Source organism: Homo sapiens, chromosome 17, assembly GCF_000001405.40.
Source record: "Homo sapiens chromosome 17, GRCh38.p14 Primary Assembly".
NCBI lineage: Eukaryota > Metazoa > Chordata > Mammalia > Primates > Hominidae > Homo > Homo sapiens.
In genome coordinates this window covers 60,457,193-60,476,500 of record NC_000017.11, presented here as the reverse complement: position 1 = coordinate 60,476,500, position 19,308 = coordinate 60,457,193, and the positions used below count along the sequence as shown (strand labels likewise).

At 38.0% G+C, this 19,308-nt stretch overlaps 1 protein-coding gene across 4 annotated transcripts in view; it reads left to right on the top strand.

The window, feature by feature from the left end:
* Positions 1 to 19,308, top strand: part of APPBP2 (amyloid beta precursor protein binding protein 2) — an 83,085-nt gene that overhangs the window by 49,742 nt on the left and 14,035 nt on the right. For all 4 annotated transcript variants that reach the window (NM_001282476.2, NM_006380.5, XM_047435116.1 and 1 more), the window contains 5 exons: positions 10,042 to 10,210; positions 12,391 to 12,480; positions 14,440 to 14,507; positions 14,586 to 14,691; positions 15,714 to 15,838. In NM_001282476.2, the coding sequence (NP_001269405.1) occupies positions 10,042 to 10,210; positions 12,391 to 12,480; positions 14,440 to 14,507; positions 14,586 to 14,691; positions 15,714 to 15,838 (558 nt within the window). The remainder of the gene's footprint in view (positions 1 to 10,041; positions 10,211 to 12,390; positions 12,481 to 14,439; positions 14,508 to 14,585; positions 14,692 to 15,713; positions 15,839 to 19,308) is intronic.

Here is a 19,308-nt window from a genome sequence, read left to right as displayed (position 1 = left end):
TACTTAGTATTATTTGAAAAGATTATTAAAATTTTATGACTTAGCCTTTTTTTAAGGCAGAGAGAAATTTGGGGTATTAATTGACCATGTGTTTAATTGAATTAGAAAAGAAGTGTTTTGCACAACAGATACTAATCAAATGCTTTGGCCAATCCCAGGGGCTTTGAGCCTGATGCAAGAATAAAAGTATATTTTTCAATTTAATGTCACAAAGCCAATTTCTAATATGGGGCTAACATCAAAACATTATACAACAAAGGTCAGAGAACCTTCCTAGCCTTTCTTAATAGAAAGTAGTTAAAACTGGTACCATTTTTCAGTCCTTTTGTATTCTTTGGAGACTCTGCCTATTTCCATTTATTCATTTTCTATTTAATGGCTTTGTTTTTCTTGCTTATACATGTCTGGCCAAACACATCCAGAAAATACAGAAAGCTATGAGGAAGAAAATTGTTGTCTATAACCCTGCTGCTCAGAAATAACTACAGTTACTGAACTGGCTTGTTTTTGGGGGATGACAAACTTAAAATCACACCCGCAACCCCCTTTTCAGTTTTTTCTTTGGAGCTAATCAGTCCATGTGAGCATGGTTTGTTTAAGGTCAGGAATTCTCTAGAACCTCCAGATAAGGGAACAGAGATTGCTTTTGGGCTTGTGAGAGTTGGGCAGAACAAACTTACTTTTTATTTTAAATCCTTTTCTACTATTTATTATGTTTTTAAACCATTGACATGTATTCCTTTGGTGGGTTTTTTTAAATAATAAAAAGAACTTCTTGAACTACTGGACTGTGGGGTGGGGTTGGGGAGCGTGTGTGTGTGTGTGTGTGTGTGTGTGTGTGTGTGTGTGTGTATAAAGAGTTGAATGTGGATTGAAAGAGAACCCTGGGCAGCTGAATTTCCTGAAATCCAAAGATAAATAGAAATTAGAAGCTAGAAGAAAGTAGCAGTATCTTAGTTACTGAGAGAAAATACTGTACCTCACCAGTTTGAAGGGCAAAAGAAGTAATTTTCAAATACATGAAGACCCAGTATATCTCCATGTACCGTATCTGAGGGAAATAATCGAGGAACTTCTGTAACCAAATATAAGTTCCAGCAAGGCATGGTACCTCATGCCTGTAATCCCAGCACTTTGGGAGGCCAAGGCAGGAGGATCGTTTGAGCCAAGGAGTTTGAGACCTGCCTGGGCAATATAATGAAACTATCATGTTATGTTATGTCATGTCATGTTATGTCTGAGTCATGTTTTTTGTTTTTTGTTTTTGTTTTTTTTGAGATGGAGTCTCTGTCGCCCAGGCTGGAGTGCAGTGGTGTGATCGCGGCTCACTGCAAGCTCCACCTCCCAGGTTTAAATGATTTTTCTGCCTCAGCCTCCCGAGTAGCTGGGACTATAGGCGCCCGCCACCATGCCCAGCTAATTTTTTTGTATTTTTAGTAGAGATGGGGTTTCACCATGTTAGCCTGGATGGTGTCGATCTCCTGACCTCGTGATCTGCCTGCCCTGGCCCCCCAAAGTGCTGGGATTACAGACGTGAGCCACTGCACCTGGCCTCTATTTTATTTTAAAATAAAAATTTTAAACTTTTATTTAAGTTCTTAAATTAATAATAACAAATCCCAAGGTAGGGGAAGACAGTATAAAAACAGTGGTAGGTAATGAATATTGTAATATATGTCTCACATGTAAATGGAGTAGGAAGAGAATGAAGAACAAATTGAGAATTTGTAATAGGCCTTAAATGAGGATTCTTTTCAAACCAGAGATGAAAAGGAAATTTTGGAAATAACAAAAAACAAAAATTTACCACGTCAAACCTATTACAGGTTTAGTGTTCCTAATCCAAAAATTTGAAATCTGAAACATGATTGGTCCCAAACATTTCAAATAAGGATACTCAACCTGTATTTTGAACAACAAAGTAGTATTTAGGAAAGAAATGTTAAGCTGAAATTTCAGTTAGTGCTGATGTCAGGAAGCTTTATAGAGATCACCTAGTGAAATTTTCTTTCTAAATAAGTTATGAGGCTGGGCGGGGTGGCTCAACACCTGTAATCCCAGCACTTTGATAGGCCAGGGTGGGTGGATCACCTAAGGTCAGGAGTTCAAGACCAGCCTGGCCAACATGGTGAAACCCTGTCTCTACTAAAAATACAAAAAAATTAACTGGGCATGGTGGTGGGTGCCTGTGATCCCAGCTACTTCGGGAGGCTGAGGGAGGAGAATCGCTTGAACCTGGGAGGTGGAGGTTGCAGTGAGTCAAGATTGCACCATTGCACTCCAACCTGGGCGACGAGCAAAACTCTGTCTCAAAAAAAAAAAATAAAAAAAAAATGAAATTTAACAGATTTAGAATTATTCTGGAGGTCATGACCTTATAGTTTTAAGAGTTGGATAATTTTATTAACTGGCTTTTTAAAGATTACTTTGAAAAGTGATGGAGTAATTCAGTTCTGGAGATCCTGGATATCTGCTTGCCATAGGAGAAATTGAAAAGCCCAGCAGTCCTAATGCTTTGCAGATGGTTACTGGTAGCTTTGGATTAAATTTCTGATGACATCATACAGAGATTCAGAAGTACTGGTTTTCAAACAAGTGAAAATGTTTTACTCTAAAAAGCTGTCATTCCAAAGAAGGATTTATTTAAAAGATAAAATAAAAACTGTCAGATGACTCAAATAACTATGGTGATGATGAAGCTAAATGTTTAAGGTACATGTGAATAATTTGGATAAAGTTTTGTAAATTGTGAGGAGGAAAAGCGATTTTTGAAAATTTAATTTAGATTTTAAATATATTGGTATAAGGAAAGATTTAAATGTTATAAATTTTTATTCTTTTTGTTTTTAATAGAAAAGGGACCTCAGTATGTTGCCCAGGCTGGTCTCAAACTCCTGGGCTCAAGTGATCCTCCTGCCTTGGCCTCCCAAAATACTGGGCTTACAGGCATGACCACCACACCTGGCCTTAAATATAAATTATAAGTGTTTTAATGTTATCACATATATCCCTAAAACTTGATATATATGAGTTGGCAAAAATATTTTTAGATGGAAAATGGAGGTTCATCTTACATTCAGGTTGTTTTTTAATAGACATATAGCCTATTTTTAAAATATGCATTTGGGAGAATGGATGAGTAAAAGTGTTACAGAGTTCTCATCTTAGTGGGTAGAGTAGGAAAGGGCATCATTATTTAGTTTAAACATTATCAGTGCTAGAGATGGGCATTTGATGCCTTGTGTAATAGAAAAGTGTGATAGAACTTCCAAACTAGGGTGGTGTGAATATGGGTGAGAATGATTTGAAACTTGACCAAGCTAGATATAAGCAAAGTGAATAGAGGAACAAACTGATTATGATAAGTGAAAAATAAGATGAAAAGGTTAGACCAAATATAATTATCATCACAATACATGTAAATGGGCTCAATTCTCCTACCTAAAGATGGCAGTTACCAAGAGGGTTAAAAAATTAAAACTAGTGCTATATCATAAAAAGGAAACACCCCAAAACAATAATACTAACAATAAGGAAGAATTCAGGATAAAAGTCATTAGTTAATACAAAAGGGATATTGATAATAGAATGTATAATTCACAAAAATGTCATAAACCTATGTGTAGCAAATAAGATAGGAGCCACCTACATAAGCAGTGTACCTTAAAAGTACAAAAACTTTGATAAAAAGATAATCAGTACAATGTTAAGGGCCTCCAGGGTAGGTTAATTCTGAATATATAGAGGTTATTAAGGAACTAGATTCTTTCAATCTGTCTGCTAATTCTTTGTGTACCAGTCATTTCTTTGGCTAGCTCTCCAGTGCTTGTAAGATTGCTGCCATGGTTTGAGGTGTCAGGTGCAGATTCCACGTTCTCTAGCAGAAGAAACACTCTCACACTGATGTCCTCCCTGACTTGAAATTAAAACCATACCAGACTAACAAAGAAAAAGACAGAAGACTCAAATAACTAAAACCAGAAATGGGACTTGGAACATTACTACCAACCTTCCACAAATGAAAAGGATTTAAGGTGAATCCTATGAACAGTTGAACACCAGTGAATTAGATAACATAAATAAAATGGACAAATTTTTTAGAAATGGACAATTTACCTAAATGCCCCAAGAAGAAATAGAAAATCTTACGAGACCTATAACAAGTAAATAAATTAAATCCATAATCAAAAACCTTCCAACAAAGTCCAGGACTGAAGACTTCACTAGTGAATTCTATCAAACATTTAAAGAATTAGCACTAGTTCTTCTCAAACTCCTCCAGGAAATTGCAGAGGAAGGAACACTTCCTAACTTGTTTTGTTTTGTTTTTGTTTTTGTTTTTGTTTCCATTTTCATTTTATTTGCTTTATTTTATGAGACAGAGTCTTACTCTTTTGCCCAGGCTGGAGTGCAGTGGCACCATCTTGGCTCACTGCAACTTCCGCCTCCCAGGTTCAAGCGATTCTCCTGCCTCAGCCACCCAAGTAGCTGGGATTACAGGCTCCCACCACCACACCTGGCTAATTTTTGTATTTTTAGTAGAGACGAGGTTTTGCCATGTTGGCCAGGCTGGTCTCGAACTCCTGACCTCAGGTGACCTGCCCACCTTGGCCTCCCAAAGTTCTAGGATTACAGGCATGAGCCACTGCGCCCAGCCCCTAACTCGTTTTAAAAGGTTAACGTTACCCTGATACCAAAGACCAAAAATGACATCACAAAAAAGGCAATTTCAGACGAGTATCTCTTATGAATATGGATGAAAAAATCCTCAACAAAATACTAGCAAATCAAATCTAATAGAATATTAAAAGGATTTTACACTATGACAAAGTGAGATTTATCCCAGGAATGCAAGGGTGGTTCAACGTAAGAACATCAGTGTGATACACCATGTTAATAGGATGAAGGGAAAAAAAAAAAACCCAGTTATCTCAGTTGACACAGAAAAGACATTTAGCAAAATCTAACACCTTTTCATGATTAAAAAAAAAAATTCACAAAGCTAGGAATAGAAAGGAACTTCTTCAATATGATAAAGAGTATTTATGAAAAACTCACAATAACATCATACTCTATAGTGAAAGACTAGAAGCTTCCCCCATAGGATCAGGAACAAGACATAGTTGCCTGCTTTCACTAGTGGTATTCAACATTGTACTGGAAGCTTTAGCAGAAGAAATTCGACAAGAAAAATAAAAATCATCAGTATTGGAAAGGAAGAAGTAAAACTATAGATTTGTTGGACTTAATCAAAATAAAAACTTTTGTAAATCAAAAACATCAAGAAAATAAAAAGACAACCTATGGAATGGGAGAAAATATTTGCAAATCACATGTCAATTAAGTTTCTAGTATCCAGAATATATCAAGAACTACAACTACAAACAACAGAATTTAAAAATGAGGCCGGGCCCTGTGGCTCACACCTGTAATCCAAGCAGTTTGGGAGTTTGAGGCAGAGAGATCATCTGAGGTCAGGAGTTTGAGACCAGTCTGGCCAACATGATAAAACTCTGTCTCTACTGAAAAAAAAAATACAAAAATTAGCCAGGCGTGGTGGTGCACACCTGTAATCCCAGCTACTCAGGAGGCTGAGGCAGGAGAATCGCTTGAACCCAGGAGGCAGAGGTTGCAGTGAGCTGAGATCGTGCCACTGCACTCCAGCCTGGGCAACAGAGCAAGACCCCATCTCAAAAAAAAAAAAAAATCCAGTCTGGCCAACATGGTGAAACCCATCTCTACTAAAAATAGGAAAATTAGCTGGGTATGGTGGCAGGCGCCTGTAATCCAAGCTACTCTGGAGGCTGAGGCAGGAGAATCACTTGAACCCAGGAGGCAGAGGTTGCAGTGAGCCAAGATTGTGCCACTGCACTCCAGCCTGGGCAACAAGAGCGAAACTCTGTTAAAAATTTAATTAATTAATTAATAAAGAGCAGGCTGGGCATGGTGGCTCACACCTGTAATCCCAGCACTTTGGGAGGCTGAGGCAGAAGGATTTCTTGAGCTCAAGAGTTTGAGACCAGCCTGAGCAAAATAGCAAGACCTTGTCTCTATTAAAATAATTTTTTTAAAAATCAGCCAGGTGTGGTGGCACTGGCCTGTCGTCTCAGCTACGTAGGAGGCTGAGGTGGGAGGATCACTTAAGCCCAGGAGATCATGGCTGTAGTGAGCTTGATCATGCAACTGCACTCCAGCCTGGGTGACAGAGTGAGACTCTGTCTCATAAAATTAAAAATAAAAAATGGACAAAGGACTTGAATAGACATTTTCCCAAGGAAGATACACAAAAGACCGGTAAGCACATGAAAAGATAAGCACATGAAAAGATAGTGTCATTCAGCATTAGGGAAATGGAAATCAAACATAATGAGCTACCACTTTATTCCTACCAAGATGGGTACAGTTTAAAAAAAAGAAAATAACTGTTGGCAAGGATGAGAAGAAATCAAGTGATTCTGCTGAGAGAGCATTTGAAAAAAAAAAAGAAATTGGAAACTTTGTGCACTGTTGCTGGGAATGTAAAATGGTGCAGCTGCTGTGGAGTACAGTTTGGCAGTTTGTCAAAAAGCTAAACATAGAATTACTGTATGACTCAGCAATTTCACTCCAAGTATATGCCTAAAAGCATTGAAAGCAAGGAATCGAGAGATATTTGTGTGCTAGTGTTTATAGCAGAATTTTTCACAAGTCAAAAGATAAAAACAATCCAAGTATCCATCAGCAGATAAATAGATACACAAAATTTGGCATTTACATATATACACATACAATGATTCAGCCAGTTTTGGTACATGCTACAACATGGATGAACCTTGAAAATTTTATCCTAAGTGAAATAAGTTAGACACAAAAGGACAAATATTGTATGGTTCCACTTACATGAAATATGTAGAATAGGCAAATTCATAGAGACAGAAAGTAGATTAAAGGTTACTAGGGACTGTTTGGGGTGATGAAAAAGTTTTGGAAGTGGATAGTATTGATGGTTGCATGACATAGTTAATATAATTAATGCCACTGAATTGTATACTTAAAAATAGCTCATATGGCAAAGTTTTATATATATTTCACCATAGTAAAAAAAAATTATTAAACCCATACCGGTCTTTATTTTCATTATGCAGCTCTCCCCTTTCAAGCTATCATTTATTTCCAATTTTTTTTTTTTTTTTTTTTGAGATGGAGTCTTGCTCTGTCGCCAGTCTGGAGTGCAGTGGTGTGATCTCGACTCACTGCAATCTCTGCCTCCTGGGTTCAAGCGATTCTTCTGCCTCAGCCTCCCAAGTAGCTGGAACTACAGGCACGCACCACCATGCCAAGCTAATTTTTTTTTGTATTTTTAGTAGAGACGGGGATCGTGTTGGCCAGGATGGTCTCGATCTCCTGACATCGTGATCCGCCTACCTCGGCCTCCCAAAGTGCTGGGATAAACTAGTTCTAAGAAAAAGACACTTACAAGAAGGAGAGAAATTCTTTTCCTTTAGGTTCACTTTCAGTGTATTTTACTTTCGTCATGTCTGGCTGATGAGGCTCTAACTAGTCATGTTCAGTCTTATGGTAAATATATTAGTAAACTAATGACTTACACATTTGTATATTTTTCATTTTAAACAATGAATAGTTCAATCAAATAGTAATTGTTCTTGACAGTAGGTGTTGATCAGGTAGACATAATTTTATGTTATGAAAGTAAAATACTGTGTTTACATGGTAGTGCCACATTTTGAGAACCTCCTTTTTCCTTAGGCAGAAGGTTGGGATAAAATTAGACCATAATAAGTTGGACCACAAGTTCCTTGGATTCAATATACTGCTTAGTGTCAGCCCAGATGGACACACAGAACCTAAAGAGTCTCCATATGTTTAATTTGCCCTTTTGTTTAAATAGACATTCAGCAGGGACTGGAGAAAATACCAAGCTGTGCCTTTCTGGCATACAGTGTTTATTTTGCTACTTCATCATGTGCCAATTACTAAATAATTTCCACAGATTGTTATTTCAGGAGAATACTTACAGTGAAGGTCTTTGGAAAGGAAATTCTTAGCATTGTGGAAATGAGAAGTAAGCACTGTTCTTTTTATTCTCTAAATTTTCAACCTATGGGTTTCTCATTTTTTTCTCTTTCAACCATTTGGCTATCAAATCTGTGTTTCAAATACTAATCCTTTTTTTCTCAAGGACTTTTTTTTCTGGACTGTTACAGTATCTTCTGCCTTGGTTGCTTTGCTTCCCCTCTTGGCTTTGCTATAGCCAGAGTGTAGCCAGAGCATTCTTGATAGAGTTGCATTGTCCCATATGGTAGCCATTAACCATATGTGATTATTAAGTTTAAATTAATTAAAAGTAAAATGTGCCTCAGTCACACTAGGCACATTTCTAATACTCAGTAGCCACTGTGGCTAGTGGCTACCAAATTGAGCAACACAAGTATAGAACATTTCTAACATCTCAGGAAATTATATTAGATAGTGCATAAGTCAAATCACCTCCCTTACTGTTGCAAACAAAACTCCTTTCCACGGCCCGCAAGGTGCTATAAAATCTTGCTTATCTCTCCCTTCTCATTTCTCTTTACATAATCTTTTATTCACTGTAGTCTAGATGAATTGGCCTTCTTTCTGTTCCTTTGACTATGCCAGGATTTCCCCCCATCCCTTCTCAGGGGCTATTCCTTCTGTTTTGCTGTTCCTTCTGTTTTGGAACATGCTTCCCCACCAGATCTTCACTTGGCTGGCTACAGTGTCATCATTTAGATGTCAACTTAAATGTTACTACCTCAGGAGGATTCTTCCCTGTCTACCCTAAATACCTCCTTTCAGAATCTTTTGATCATATTACCCTACTTTTTTATCATCTTTATGGCATTTATCCTTAAATGAAAGTCTTACGTATTTTATCTTTGCCCACACTAATACCCTTCTCACCACTAGAACATAAGCTGCTTATGGTAATAGATTTTGCAGATAATTGTATGGTACGTGTTGGGAGGATACACATTGGCATTGTATAGTAGTCATCACTTTATTGATTAGTCCTGGTTCTTTGGAAGTTAATCTGTTTCTGTGACTATACAGAGGAATGATAGAGATTAAAAGATTGTCTGAATTTTTCTCATTATGAGTTACTAATCTGTTAATAATTGTGGTATAGATAGAAAAAATAAATTTTTTGTATCTGTTGATTTGATGCTCCTGAGGAATACTTCCTAACCTGTCCATCCTTGTTTTTCTTTTAAATAGCTTTTATACCTTTGTTCCTTCTCAGTCTGAGCATTTTCAGAAAGTTGTATTGGCTTGATACATGAACATAATGTTCTAGCTAGCATTTAATAAATAAATAAATAAATAAATATTTGTCCAGTCCTAACACTATTTGCCTATCTTGTACAGTCTATATAGATACACAGTCTGTTGCTATCTAGACCAGTCTGATCTAAAGCATTGTACTATTTTTGCATATCATTAAATAGTCAGCATAGTTGTACAGTTAATTTGTTTAAAGAACTCTGTATTTCTACTATAGAGGATAAAGATTTTAAAAGAAATAGTTGACACTACTGCTATTTTCGGTAAATTTATCTTATTGGAAAAAATGAACATTATGAAGCATCATGAAATAAGTGGTAACTGATCAAGTGTTAGACTATACCAAAAATAAGAAAAGAAGATATTTTATGTCAATTTTATTTTCTTCATTATTTTCCAAGTTTCTTATACTGAAGCTATATTACTTGTGGATTTGGAACAAAAAGATTAAATGTCATTTTTTTAGATGCAGTACATGCTGAGTACATAAAATATATAAAATATTTAGAGAAGGAATCAACAATTGATGAGATGAATTATGGGACGCTTTCAGGAAAGAGCATGTACTTCTTTATGGGCATGAGGTCAACTCCAATTTGGGCCACACACTTATTTTCAATGCTGCCTTGTAATTGTATTTAATTACCTTAAGTCATTCAGGTGATTGGTAAGAGGTCATCAGGTCTACCAAGCTGAAAATATCAAAAATAGAGCAATGTTATTGGTGTTTTATAGGTTGCTTCATGTGCGAAATGGAAACTGCAAATATCATTTGGGTGAAGAAACATTTAAATTAGCTCAGACATATATGGATAAACTATCAAAACATGGCCAGCAAGCAAATAAAGCTGCACTCTATGGAGAACTGTGTGCACTCCTATTTGCAAAAAGTCACTATGATGAGGTAAGTGTTTTAAGGTACATTTCACTGTGACCAATAAGTACCTATAAAAACAGAGGGTAAATCAAATAGTCTTCTCTTATTTTTCTTACAGATCTCTTTTACATATTAGGTTTATATAAGGCAGTACACATTTGTAATGGAAAATTTAAAATCAGACAAGCCGAGCACTGTGGCTCATGCCTGTAATCCCAGAACTTTAGGAGGCCAAGGTAGAGGATCACTTGAGCCCAGGAGTTTGGGGCCAGCATGGGCAACAAAGTGAGAGAGACCCTGCCTCTATAGAAAATTAGCCGCATGTGTAGCACACGCCTGTGGTGGTCACAACTACATGGGAGGCTGAGGCAGGAGGATCCCTTGAGCCCAGTAAGTTGAGGGTGTAGTGAGCCATATTTATACCACTGTACTCCAGCCTGAGTGACAGAGTGAGACCCTGTCTCAAAAAAATAAAAAATCAGGCAAAAGGAGTGTTTGTGAGGTGAATTTGAAATATATACATGTGTAATTTAGAGCCCTTTCTTTTGTTGTTTTTCTTTTAATTTAACCAAATATTTGCCTAAATTGTTTGGTTGGGCCTCGTGTTGTAGTTTTTGAGACAGGATCTTGCTTTGTCACCCACGCTGGACTCAAACTCCTGGGCTCAGGTGATCCTCTACCTTGGCCTCCTGAAGTGCTGGGATTACAGGCATGAGCCACCATGCCCAGCCTGACAGTTATTTTCCTTCTACATTTGGATTTAGGGGTTTATACTGTGCCTTATTCATGTCTTTGCAGCTCTCAGCACATTCGTGAGGAATGTTGAAGTCTTGGATAATTTTGACAGTTCAATCTTCTAGTGATAAATAAGCTTTTCACTGATATCTACAGAAAAGTACACAAATCTTACAGACATGGTTTGATGAATTAGCATCATGTTTTTGTGTTAGGATAGGCTAGGTTATGCAGAGGTAATATCAACCCCAGAATAGCTTGGAACAATAAAAGTTTCTTTCTGGCTCATAATATATCCCTGTCTTCAGATGGCTATGGCTGTTCTTAACATTATACCTACGCTTTGATCAAGACACAGCGTGGTTTTGGGTCTATCTGGAACGTATCTATCTAGAACATTACCAGCCTGGGCACAGGGGCAGAAACTTCATGGAGAAGTACTGCCGGCTCTTGGACTTTTCTTCCAGAAGTGGCACATTTCACTTCTCATATTTTAATTGTGGAAAGAAATCACATGGCCACACTTGTCTTTGTTTGTTTGTTTGTCTGTTTGTTTGAGACAGCGTCTCACTCCATCACCAAGGTCTGGAGTGCAGTGGCATGATCACGGCTCACTGCAGCCTCCACCTCAGCTCTACCAAGTAGCTGGAACTACAGGTGCACATCACCACGCCCAGCTAATTTTTTTGATTTTTGATAGAGACAAAGTCTCACTATGTTATAACCCAGGCTGGTTTCAAACTTCTGAGCTTGGCGATCCTCCCATCTCAGCCTCCCAAAGTGCTGGGATTACAGGTATGCACCACTACACCCAGCCTAAGACAATTTATTTTGCCTTTTTTATTTCTTCCACTAAGCACCAGGAGAGGAAGGACATTTTTGGTTTTGTTTCCCACTTCATACCTAGATACTAGCACATTACCTGCCACTTAACCTCTCTACACCTGTTTCCCCTAATAGTACGTATCTTATAGGGCTGTTTTGTCAGGTAAATGTGTTAATGCACATAAAATACTTTGGACAGTAGCTGGGACAAAGTAAACACTCAACTAAACAGACAATTCAGACATAAAATAACAAATGTTACAATAGGAGGATGGAATGTATAGGAAAACACAGGAAACCCCACAAGACAGATGAGTTTAAGGGGTTGGAGGAAGGGGGAATGTATTTTAAGGCAGAGGGAACAGTATGTGCAAAGGCTTCTGGGCAAGAGAGAACATACCTCTGATTTCCAGAAGATATGTCATGTATCCACAACGTCTGATTCAGATAAGCTATAGATATTAAGAGTAAAAATAATATAACAGATTTATACTTTGAAGAAAGTTTAGCCTCAGAAAATTCTAACTGTAAATATTTTGTGTGTGTTCTTATTTAAGTGCTTGTAGAAAAATTTTGCAGTCATCTTGTTAAATATTGTCAACTTGATTTAACCACAGTTCTGTCTCTTCTATAAATAATTTTTTTAGGCATACAAATGGTGCATCGAGGCAATGAAAGAAATTACAGCAGGCTTACCAGTGAAAGTTGTGGTGGATGTCTTAAGACAAGCTTCTAAGGTAAATATAATGTTAAAATTATTAAATGAATTATAGGATTTATCAGGCTTTAAGTTTGTTTTAATTAACCTGTTATTTAACATTTTAGTTATTTGTACACTCCGTAGGCATAGGTCTGTTTTATAAGTTTCTGTGCTCATTTTTAGAAATCTGGTTTCTAACTAAAACTATATCACACATAGATTTTTAGCCAATTTTTCTTTACCAAGAAAACCAGTGAAATAATTCATTTTGATCATTGTTTCAGTGCACTAAAGTACAGCTCAAAGTAGTATTTGGGTGCTATTCTGGCTTGAGTTTGTTTTTGTTTTTCTTAAATATTTATAGCAACCAGAATTCCTTATGCCAAAATCCTGTGAACTTTGGTCACTTTTCTGCTAAAGATAGCCTGGTGTTAAATCTCTTTGTCATAGTATTGCAGTCTCACAGCAAGGCAGCTTGCTATACTTGACCTGCTAGGCAGTCCTTACTTGATTTTTCTCTAGTGTTTTCTTATTCTGTAAATAAATGCATTAAATCTTTTACATTTTTATTTTATTTTAAATAGAGACAGGGTCTCACTATGTTGCCCTGGCCGGTCTCAAACACCTGGACTCAAGCGATCCTCCCACCTGAGCCTCCAAAAGTTCTAGGCAAGCCTCCAAAAGTTCTAGGATTACAGGTCCACCACGGTTGGCCTGCGTTAACTCTTTGAGGACATTTAGTAGTATTTTAAAACTACTCCTTTGGTGCAGTGAGGACTTAAAGCATTAATGTACTTTTCAGATACACTCTTCTACCCTGAAGTTTCTCAGATTTGAATATTTCATTTTGGTTGATTTTACTTATGGAAATTCAACTAGAAAATAGATTCCAAAATTATAGATCTGAGAGAGTCTAATATTTCTCTGAAATTTATTAAATCAGTCATTTTAGAGTAAGTAAACAGCATAAATATTTAAGTTATCAGAGCTAGAACAGGGATATTCTTACGTTTTTAATTAATTGAAATAATTGAATATTAATATAAAGACAACATAATATTTATGCAAGATTTATATTTCTGGGTTTTTTTTTCTTTTTTTTTTTTTTTGAGATGGAGTCTTGCTGTCGCCCAGGCTGGAGTGCAGTGGCGCGATCTCGGGTCACTGCAGGCTCCGCCCCCCAGGGTTCACATCATTCTCCTGCCTCAGCCTCCTGAATAGCTGGGACTACAGGTGCCCGCCACCTCACCCGACTAATTTTTTGTATTTTTAGTAGAGACGGGGTTTCACCGTGTTAGCCAGGATGGTCTCGATCTCCTGACCTTGTGATCTGCCCGCCTCGGCCTCCCAAAGTGCTGGGATTACAGGCATGAGCCACTGTGCCCGGCCACAAGATTTATATTTCTATATGCAAATTATATTTAGAGTTTTTAGAAAATGCCTAGCTATAATCATGGATCAAAATAACAACTGAGAGCTGTGCACAGTGGCACATCCCTGTAGCCAGGAGTTCAAGTCCAGCCTGGGCAACATAAAACCTTGTCTCTTAAGAAAAGAATTAATAGGAAAACTTGAAATTCTATGCATTTAAAAATTATTAAATGAAAATAACAAAAGATTGTTGTCAGCCACTCCAGGACTGGGATATAAGGACCTTAGAAAATGCTGTGGTAAATTCTGCCCCCATTGTTTTATTTTAATAATAGCGGAAAATGGGGGTATACCAGCTTTGTAAGGTAACTTTGTTTTGACAGATTTGTACTAGGACTGACTGTCAAAATTTTAAACTTTATAATTTTCCCAGCTTATATACAGATCTGTTTATAATAGAATTTTTAAGTACTTGGAAGGAAAGAAATTACAAATAGAACCTTTGTATTTATGTTTGGAGGGTTTTTTTTCTTATTAACTCTTATAGCCAGAATATATAAACTACACGTATTTTAGCACACTAATGAACTGTTTGAGAGTTAACCATTTTTCACTTTATCTTTAGGCTTGTGTAGTAAAACGTGAATTTAAGAAGGCAGAACAGTTAATTAAACATGCAGTGTATTTGGCACGGTAGGTGATTATTATTAAAAATATCCTTTTAAATTGTCTCTATACTTTATATCCTAATAATTTTGTGTCTTTTTATAGGGATCATTTTGGATCCAAACACCCAAAATATTCTGATACACTGCTAGATTATGGGTTCTACTTACTCAATGTAGATAATATCTGTCAGTCTGTTGCAATTTATCAGGTATGTTAATGGTTACCCTTTTTTTCTTTCAACCTGTATTGACTTGCTGACCTGTATTTGTTTGTGGTGTATAAACCACTCTAAAAATGACTTTTTGACAACTACCCCGCCCACCAATATAGGTTGCATCATTATTTTATTAAGTATTACCTAGAAGGTGTAAAAGTTAATGCTTTGGGAATTAAAGAAAATCATTCAGGAAAGGAATTATTGGGTTGTGAGCTCATATGTGGGAGTAGTTTTCCATTTTTTATTTACCCATGTAATGGCTTGTCTTTGTTGTTGATTTAGCAAATGTCACTAAAACTGCCTTTGTAGTAACAAAGATGGCTGATAATTATTTTAGGTCTTTCTTACTCATTCTCAGGTAAATGATGTATTATGCCATTGCTGTAGACAAGGCATACTTGACTTCAAGGTTCACTTTTTTTTTTTGAGACACAGTTTTGATCTGTCGCCCAGGCTGGAGTGCAATGGCGCAATCTCAGCTCACTGCAACCTCTGCCTCCCAAGTTCAAGCAATTCTCGTGCCTCGGCCTCCTGAGTATCTGGGATTACAGGCCCGTGCCACAATGCCCGGCTAATTTTTGTATTTTTAGTAGAGAGGCGGTTTCAGCATGTTGCCCAGGCTAGTCTTGAACTACTGACCTCAGGTGATCCACCCACCTTTGCCTCCCAGAAGTACTAGGATTACAGGTGTGAGCCACCGCGCCTGGCCTAAGGTTCACTTTTGAAGAAGGAAACAGAGCAAAACATTCCCAATGTCTTGATTCTCAAGACATAGGAATGATTATTATTATTATTATTATTAAGCCGTGGCCTTTTAAGTCAAACTCGTATCTTCAGAAATTCAGGACTTCTAGGTGACTTTCATGTTCTGTAATTTAAATACAGCAGGACTTTCTGGGCTTCAAAATTTTATGGTGTTAGGCATATAGATATATATTTAAATTACTAGGATGTTTAATTTAACTAGGTGGTATTTTCTACAGTATTGACAAATATTTTTATGATTCTTTCAGGCAGCCCTTGACATTAGACAGTCAGTGTTTGGTGGCAAAAATATCCACGTAGCAACAGCTCATGAAGATTTGGCCTACTCTTCTTATGTCCACCAGTATAGCTCTGGGAAATTTGACAATGCACTGTAAGTTCCACATTCCTTTTCTCTGAAGGAGGAAATACTGTTTTTGTTTTATTTTGTTTTTTCCCATTAGGGAACTATTATTACATTAATAATAGTACTTGATATACTTTATGGATTGAACTTGTCTTCCTGGAGCTTTATCAGAATGCCTAAAATGTTCTTGAAGTCATTTAAAATCATACCAGTTTTCAGGTGCAGAGGCTCCCGCCTGTAATCCCAGCACTTTGGGAGGCTGAGGTGGAAAGATTGCTTGAGCCCAAGAGTTTGAGACCCTGTCTACTCAAAAAATTTTTAAAACTAGATGGACGTTTTGGTGCATGCCTGTGGTCCCAGCTTCTCTGGAGGCTGAGGCAGGAGAATCGCTTGAGCCCAAGAGGTCAAGGATGCAGCGAAGCATATTCACACCACTGCATTCCAGCCTGGGCAACAGAGTGAGACCCTGTTTCCAAAAATAAATAAAGTCATACTAATTTATAGGTTATTCATTTAGCCTTTATGTGATTTACTATTGAGACTTGTATATTTTCATGCAGAATATAACTTATGTTTTGAGTATTTCCTTCAATAATTTTTGAGTAATACAGTAGCAAACTTAATAACCTAAAAACTTCTTGGTGATAACACATAGAAATACTGAATAACAATTGTCTTTTTAAATATATAACTGAGCTTGCAAGAGTGAGGGGGAAATCCCCCAAGGGCCAATAATGGACACTAAAATTTAAAGGATTAAGTATGGCCTGTGGTATAACTGCTCTGGGGTGATGGGAAAGTTTACAGATTTCTGTAACCTTGGTTTAAGAAACAGCCTATAGGAGGCTGGGAGTTAGAACTGAAACCCTCACATGAAGCAAAGTCAAGACTGCAACCCGGCCGGGCGTGGTGGCTCACGCCTGTAATCTCAGCACTTTGGCGGGCCAAGGCAGGTGGATCACCTGAGGTCAGGAGTTCAAGACAAGCCTGGCCAAGACGATGAAATGCCATCTCTACTAAAAATACAAAAATTAGCCGGGCATGGTGGTGGGCACTTGTAATCCCAGCTATTCGGGAGGCTGAGGCAGACAATTGCTTGAACCCAAGAGGTGGAGGTTGCAGTGAGCCGAGATCACGCCACTGCTCTCCAGCCTAGGCAACAGAGTGAGACTCTGTCTCCAAAAAAAAAAAAAAAAAAAAGGGACTACAACCCCAGGGAAAGGACAGGTGGACATCTATCTAATTAATAGATGACAGGGAAAGTTGGCCATCTGAGCTTGGTGTCACAGTTGAACCCAAAAAGAAGCCTCACAAAACATAATTATTTACCTATACCGCTCTTGAGTTTAGGGATAATGCATCAGGATCTGCAAACAGAAAAATATTAAAAAGCACTTTGGGGGTGCTGGTTCTCCTGGGATGCCTTGTGAGAGAAAATGCAAGACTTGGAAATAATTATCTGTCAACCCAAACTATACAGACATTTCATAGACGAAGCTTTACCTAAAATGAACTCACCATTAAAAATTACAAAACATAAGGAAATATTTCCTCTGAGTCAGCAGACATAATGAACAGGATTAGAATCCTGAAAACTTTAGTTAACAGAACTTTTTTTTGGCTGGGCGCAGTGGCTGATACCTGTAATCCCAGCACTTTGGGAGGCCGAAGCGGGCAGATCACGAGGTCAGGAGATGGAGACCATCCTGGCCAACACAGTGAAACCCCGTCTCTACTAAAAATACAAAAATTAGCCAGGCATGGTGGCATGCGCCTGTAATCCCAGCTACTCGGGAGGCTGAGGCAGGAGAATCGCTTGAACCCGGGAGTCGGAGGTTGCAGTGAGCCAAGATCACCACTGCACTCCAGCGTGGCGACAGAACGAGACTCCGTCTCAAAAAAAAAAACAAAAAAAAAAACCAGAACTTCTTTTTGGTTGATGCTGTAAAGTATGTGTTCTTTATATGATTAAAGATACAAAATAGGTTGACGAACTAGGCCTATAAGTAAAGTTTTATGTTTTACTGGAACATAGCCATGCTCATTCATTCATGTGTTTTCTATAGCTTCTTTCACACTACAGCAGCCAGAGTTCAGTAGTTGCAGCAGAGAATGTGTGGACAACACAACCTAAAATATTTACTATCTGGCCCTCTACAGAAAAACTTTGTTAACTCTAATATAAAAGAAAGAATGAAGAATATTCCCATAAAGAAAACAGGAAGTTTTTTTGTTTTTGTTTTGTTTTTTTTTTGAGACAGAGTCTGTCACTCTGTCGCCCAGGCTGGAGTGCAGTGGCGTGATCTCGGCTGACTGCACTCTCCACCTCCCAGGTTCAAGCGATTCTCCTGTCTCAGCCACCTGAGTAGCTGGAATTACAGGCACACGCCACCACACCTGGCTAATTTTTGTATTTTTAGTAGAGACAGGGTTTCACCATGTTGGCCAGACTGGTCTCGATCTCCTGACCTCAAGTGATCTGCCCCCCTTGGCCTCCTAAAGTGCTGAGGCTGCAGATGTGAGCCACCATGCCTGGCTGGAAAAGGGCAGATTTTAAAGTAACTGTTACATGCTACAGCATGGATGAACCTTGAAAACACTGTGCCCAGTGAAAGAAGCCAGTCACAAAGGATCACATATTGTATGATTTCATTTATGTAATATGTCCAGAATAGGCAAATCCGTAGAGAGAACATAAATTGATGTTATCTAGGCTGGGGAGTTGGAGGGAAATGGAGACTGACTGCTAATGGGCATAGGTTTCTTTATGGGGTAATGAAAATGTTGTAAAATTGATTTTGGTGATTGGCATACTACTCTGTGAATACACTAAAAATCATTGAATTGTACACATTAAATGGGTGAATTGTGTGGTATACTAATTATATCTTGAGCTGTTATAAAAATAAAACAAATGGCTAGAAATGGAAATAGTCATTGACATTAAAACTCAGCAGATGGGCCAGGCGTGGTGGCCCACGCCTGTACTCCCAGCACTTTAGGAGGCCAGGGTGGGTGGATCACTTGAGCCCAGGAGTTTGAGACCAGCCTGGACAACATAGCAAATCCCTGTCTCTTCAAAGAAAATGCAAAAAAATTAGTTGGGCATGGCAGTGTACACCTGTAACCCACCTATCCGGGAGGCTGAGGTGGGAGGATCACCCGAGCCCAGGAGTTTGAGGCTGCGGTGAGCCATGATTGCATCACTGTACTCCAGCCTGGATGACAGAGCAGGATCCTGTGTAAAAAAAACAAACAAACAAAAACAAAACAAAAAAAACCTCAGCAGACAAGTTAAACAGAAGTTTAGTTACAACAAAAGAGAGAATTAGTAAATTGGAAGACAGATTTGAGAAAACTAGTGGTTACCTGGAGGGTGGGGGAGAGGGAGGCTTGGCATTGTTTGAAAGAAACTGACAATAAAACAGAAATAGCTTACCTTCTATTTGGTGATATGGGCCATAAACAAATAACCAAACTTGTCAGGCAAGAATACA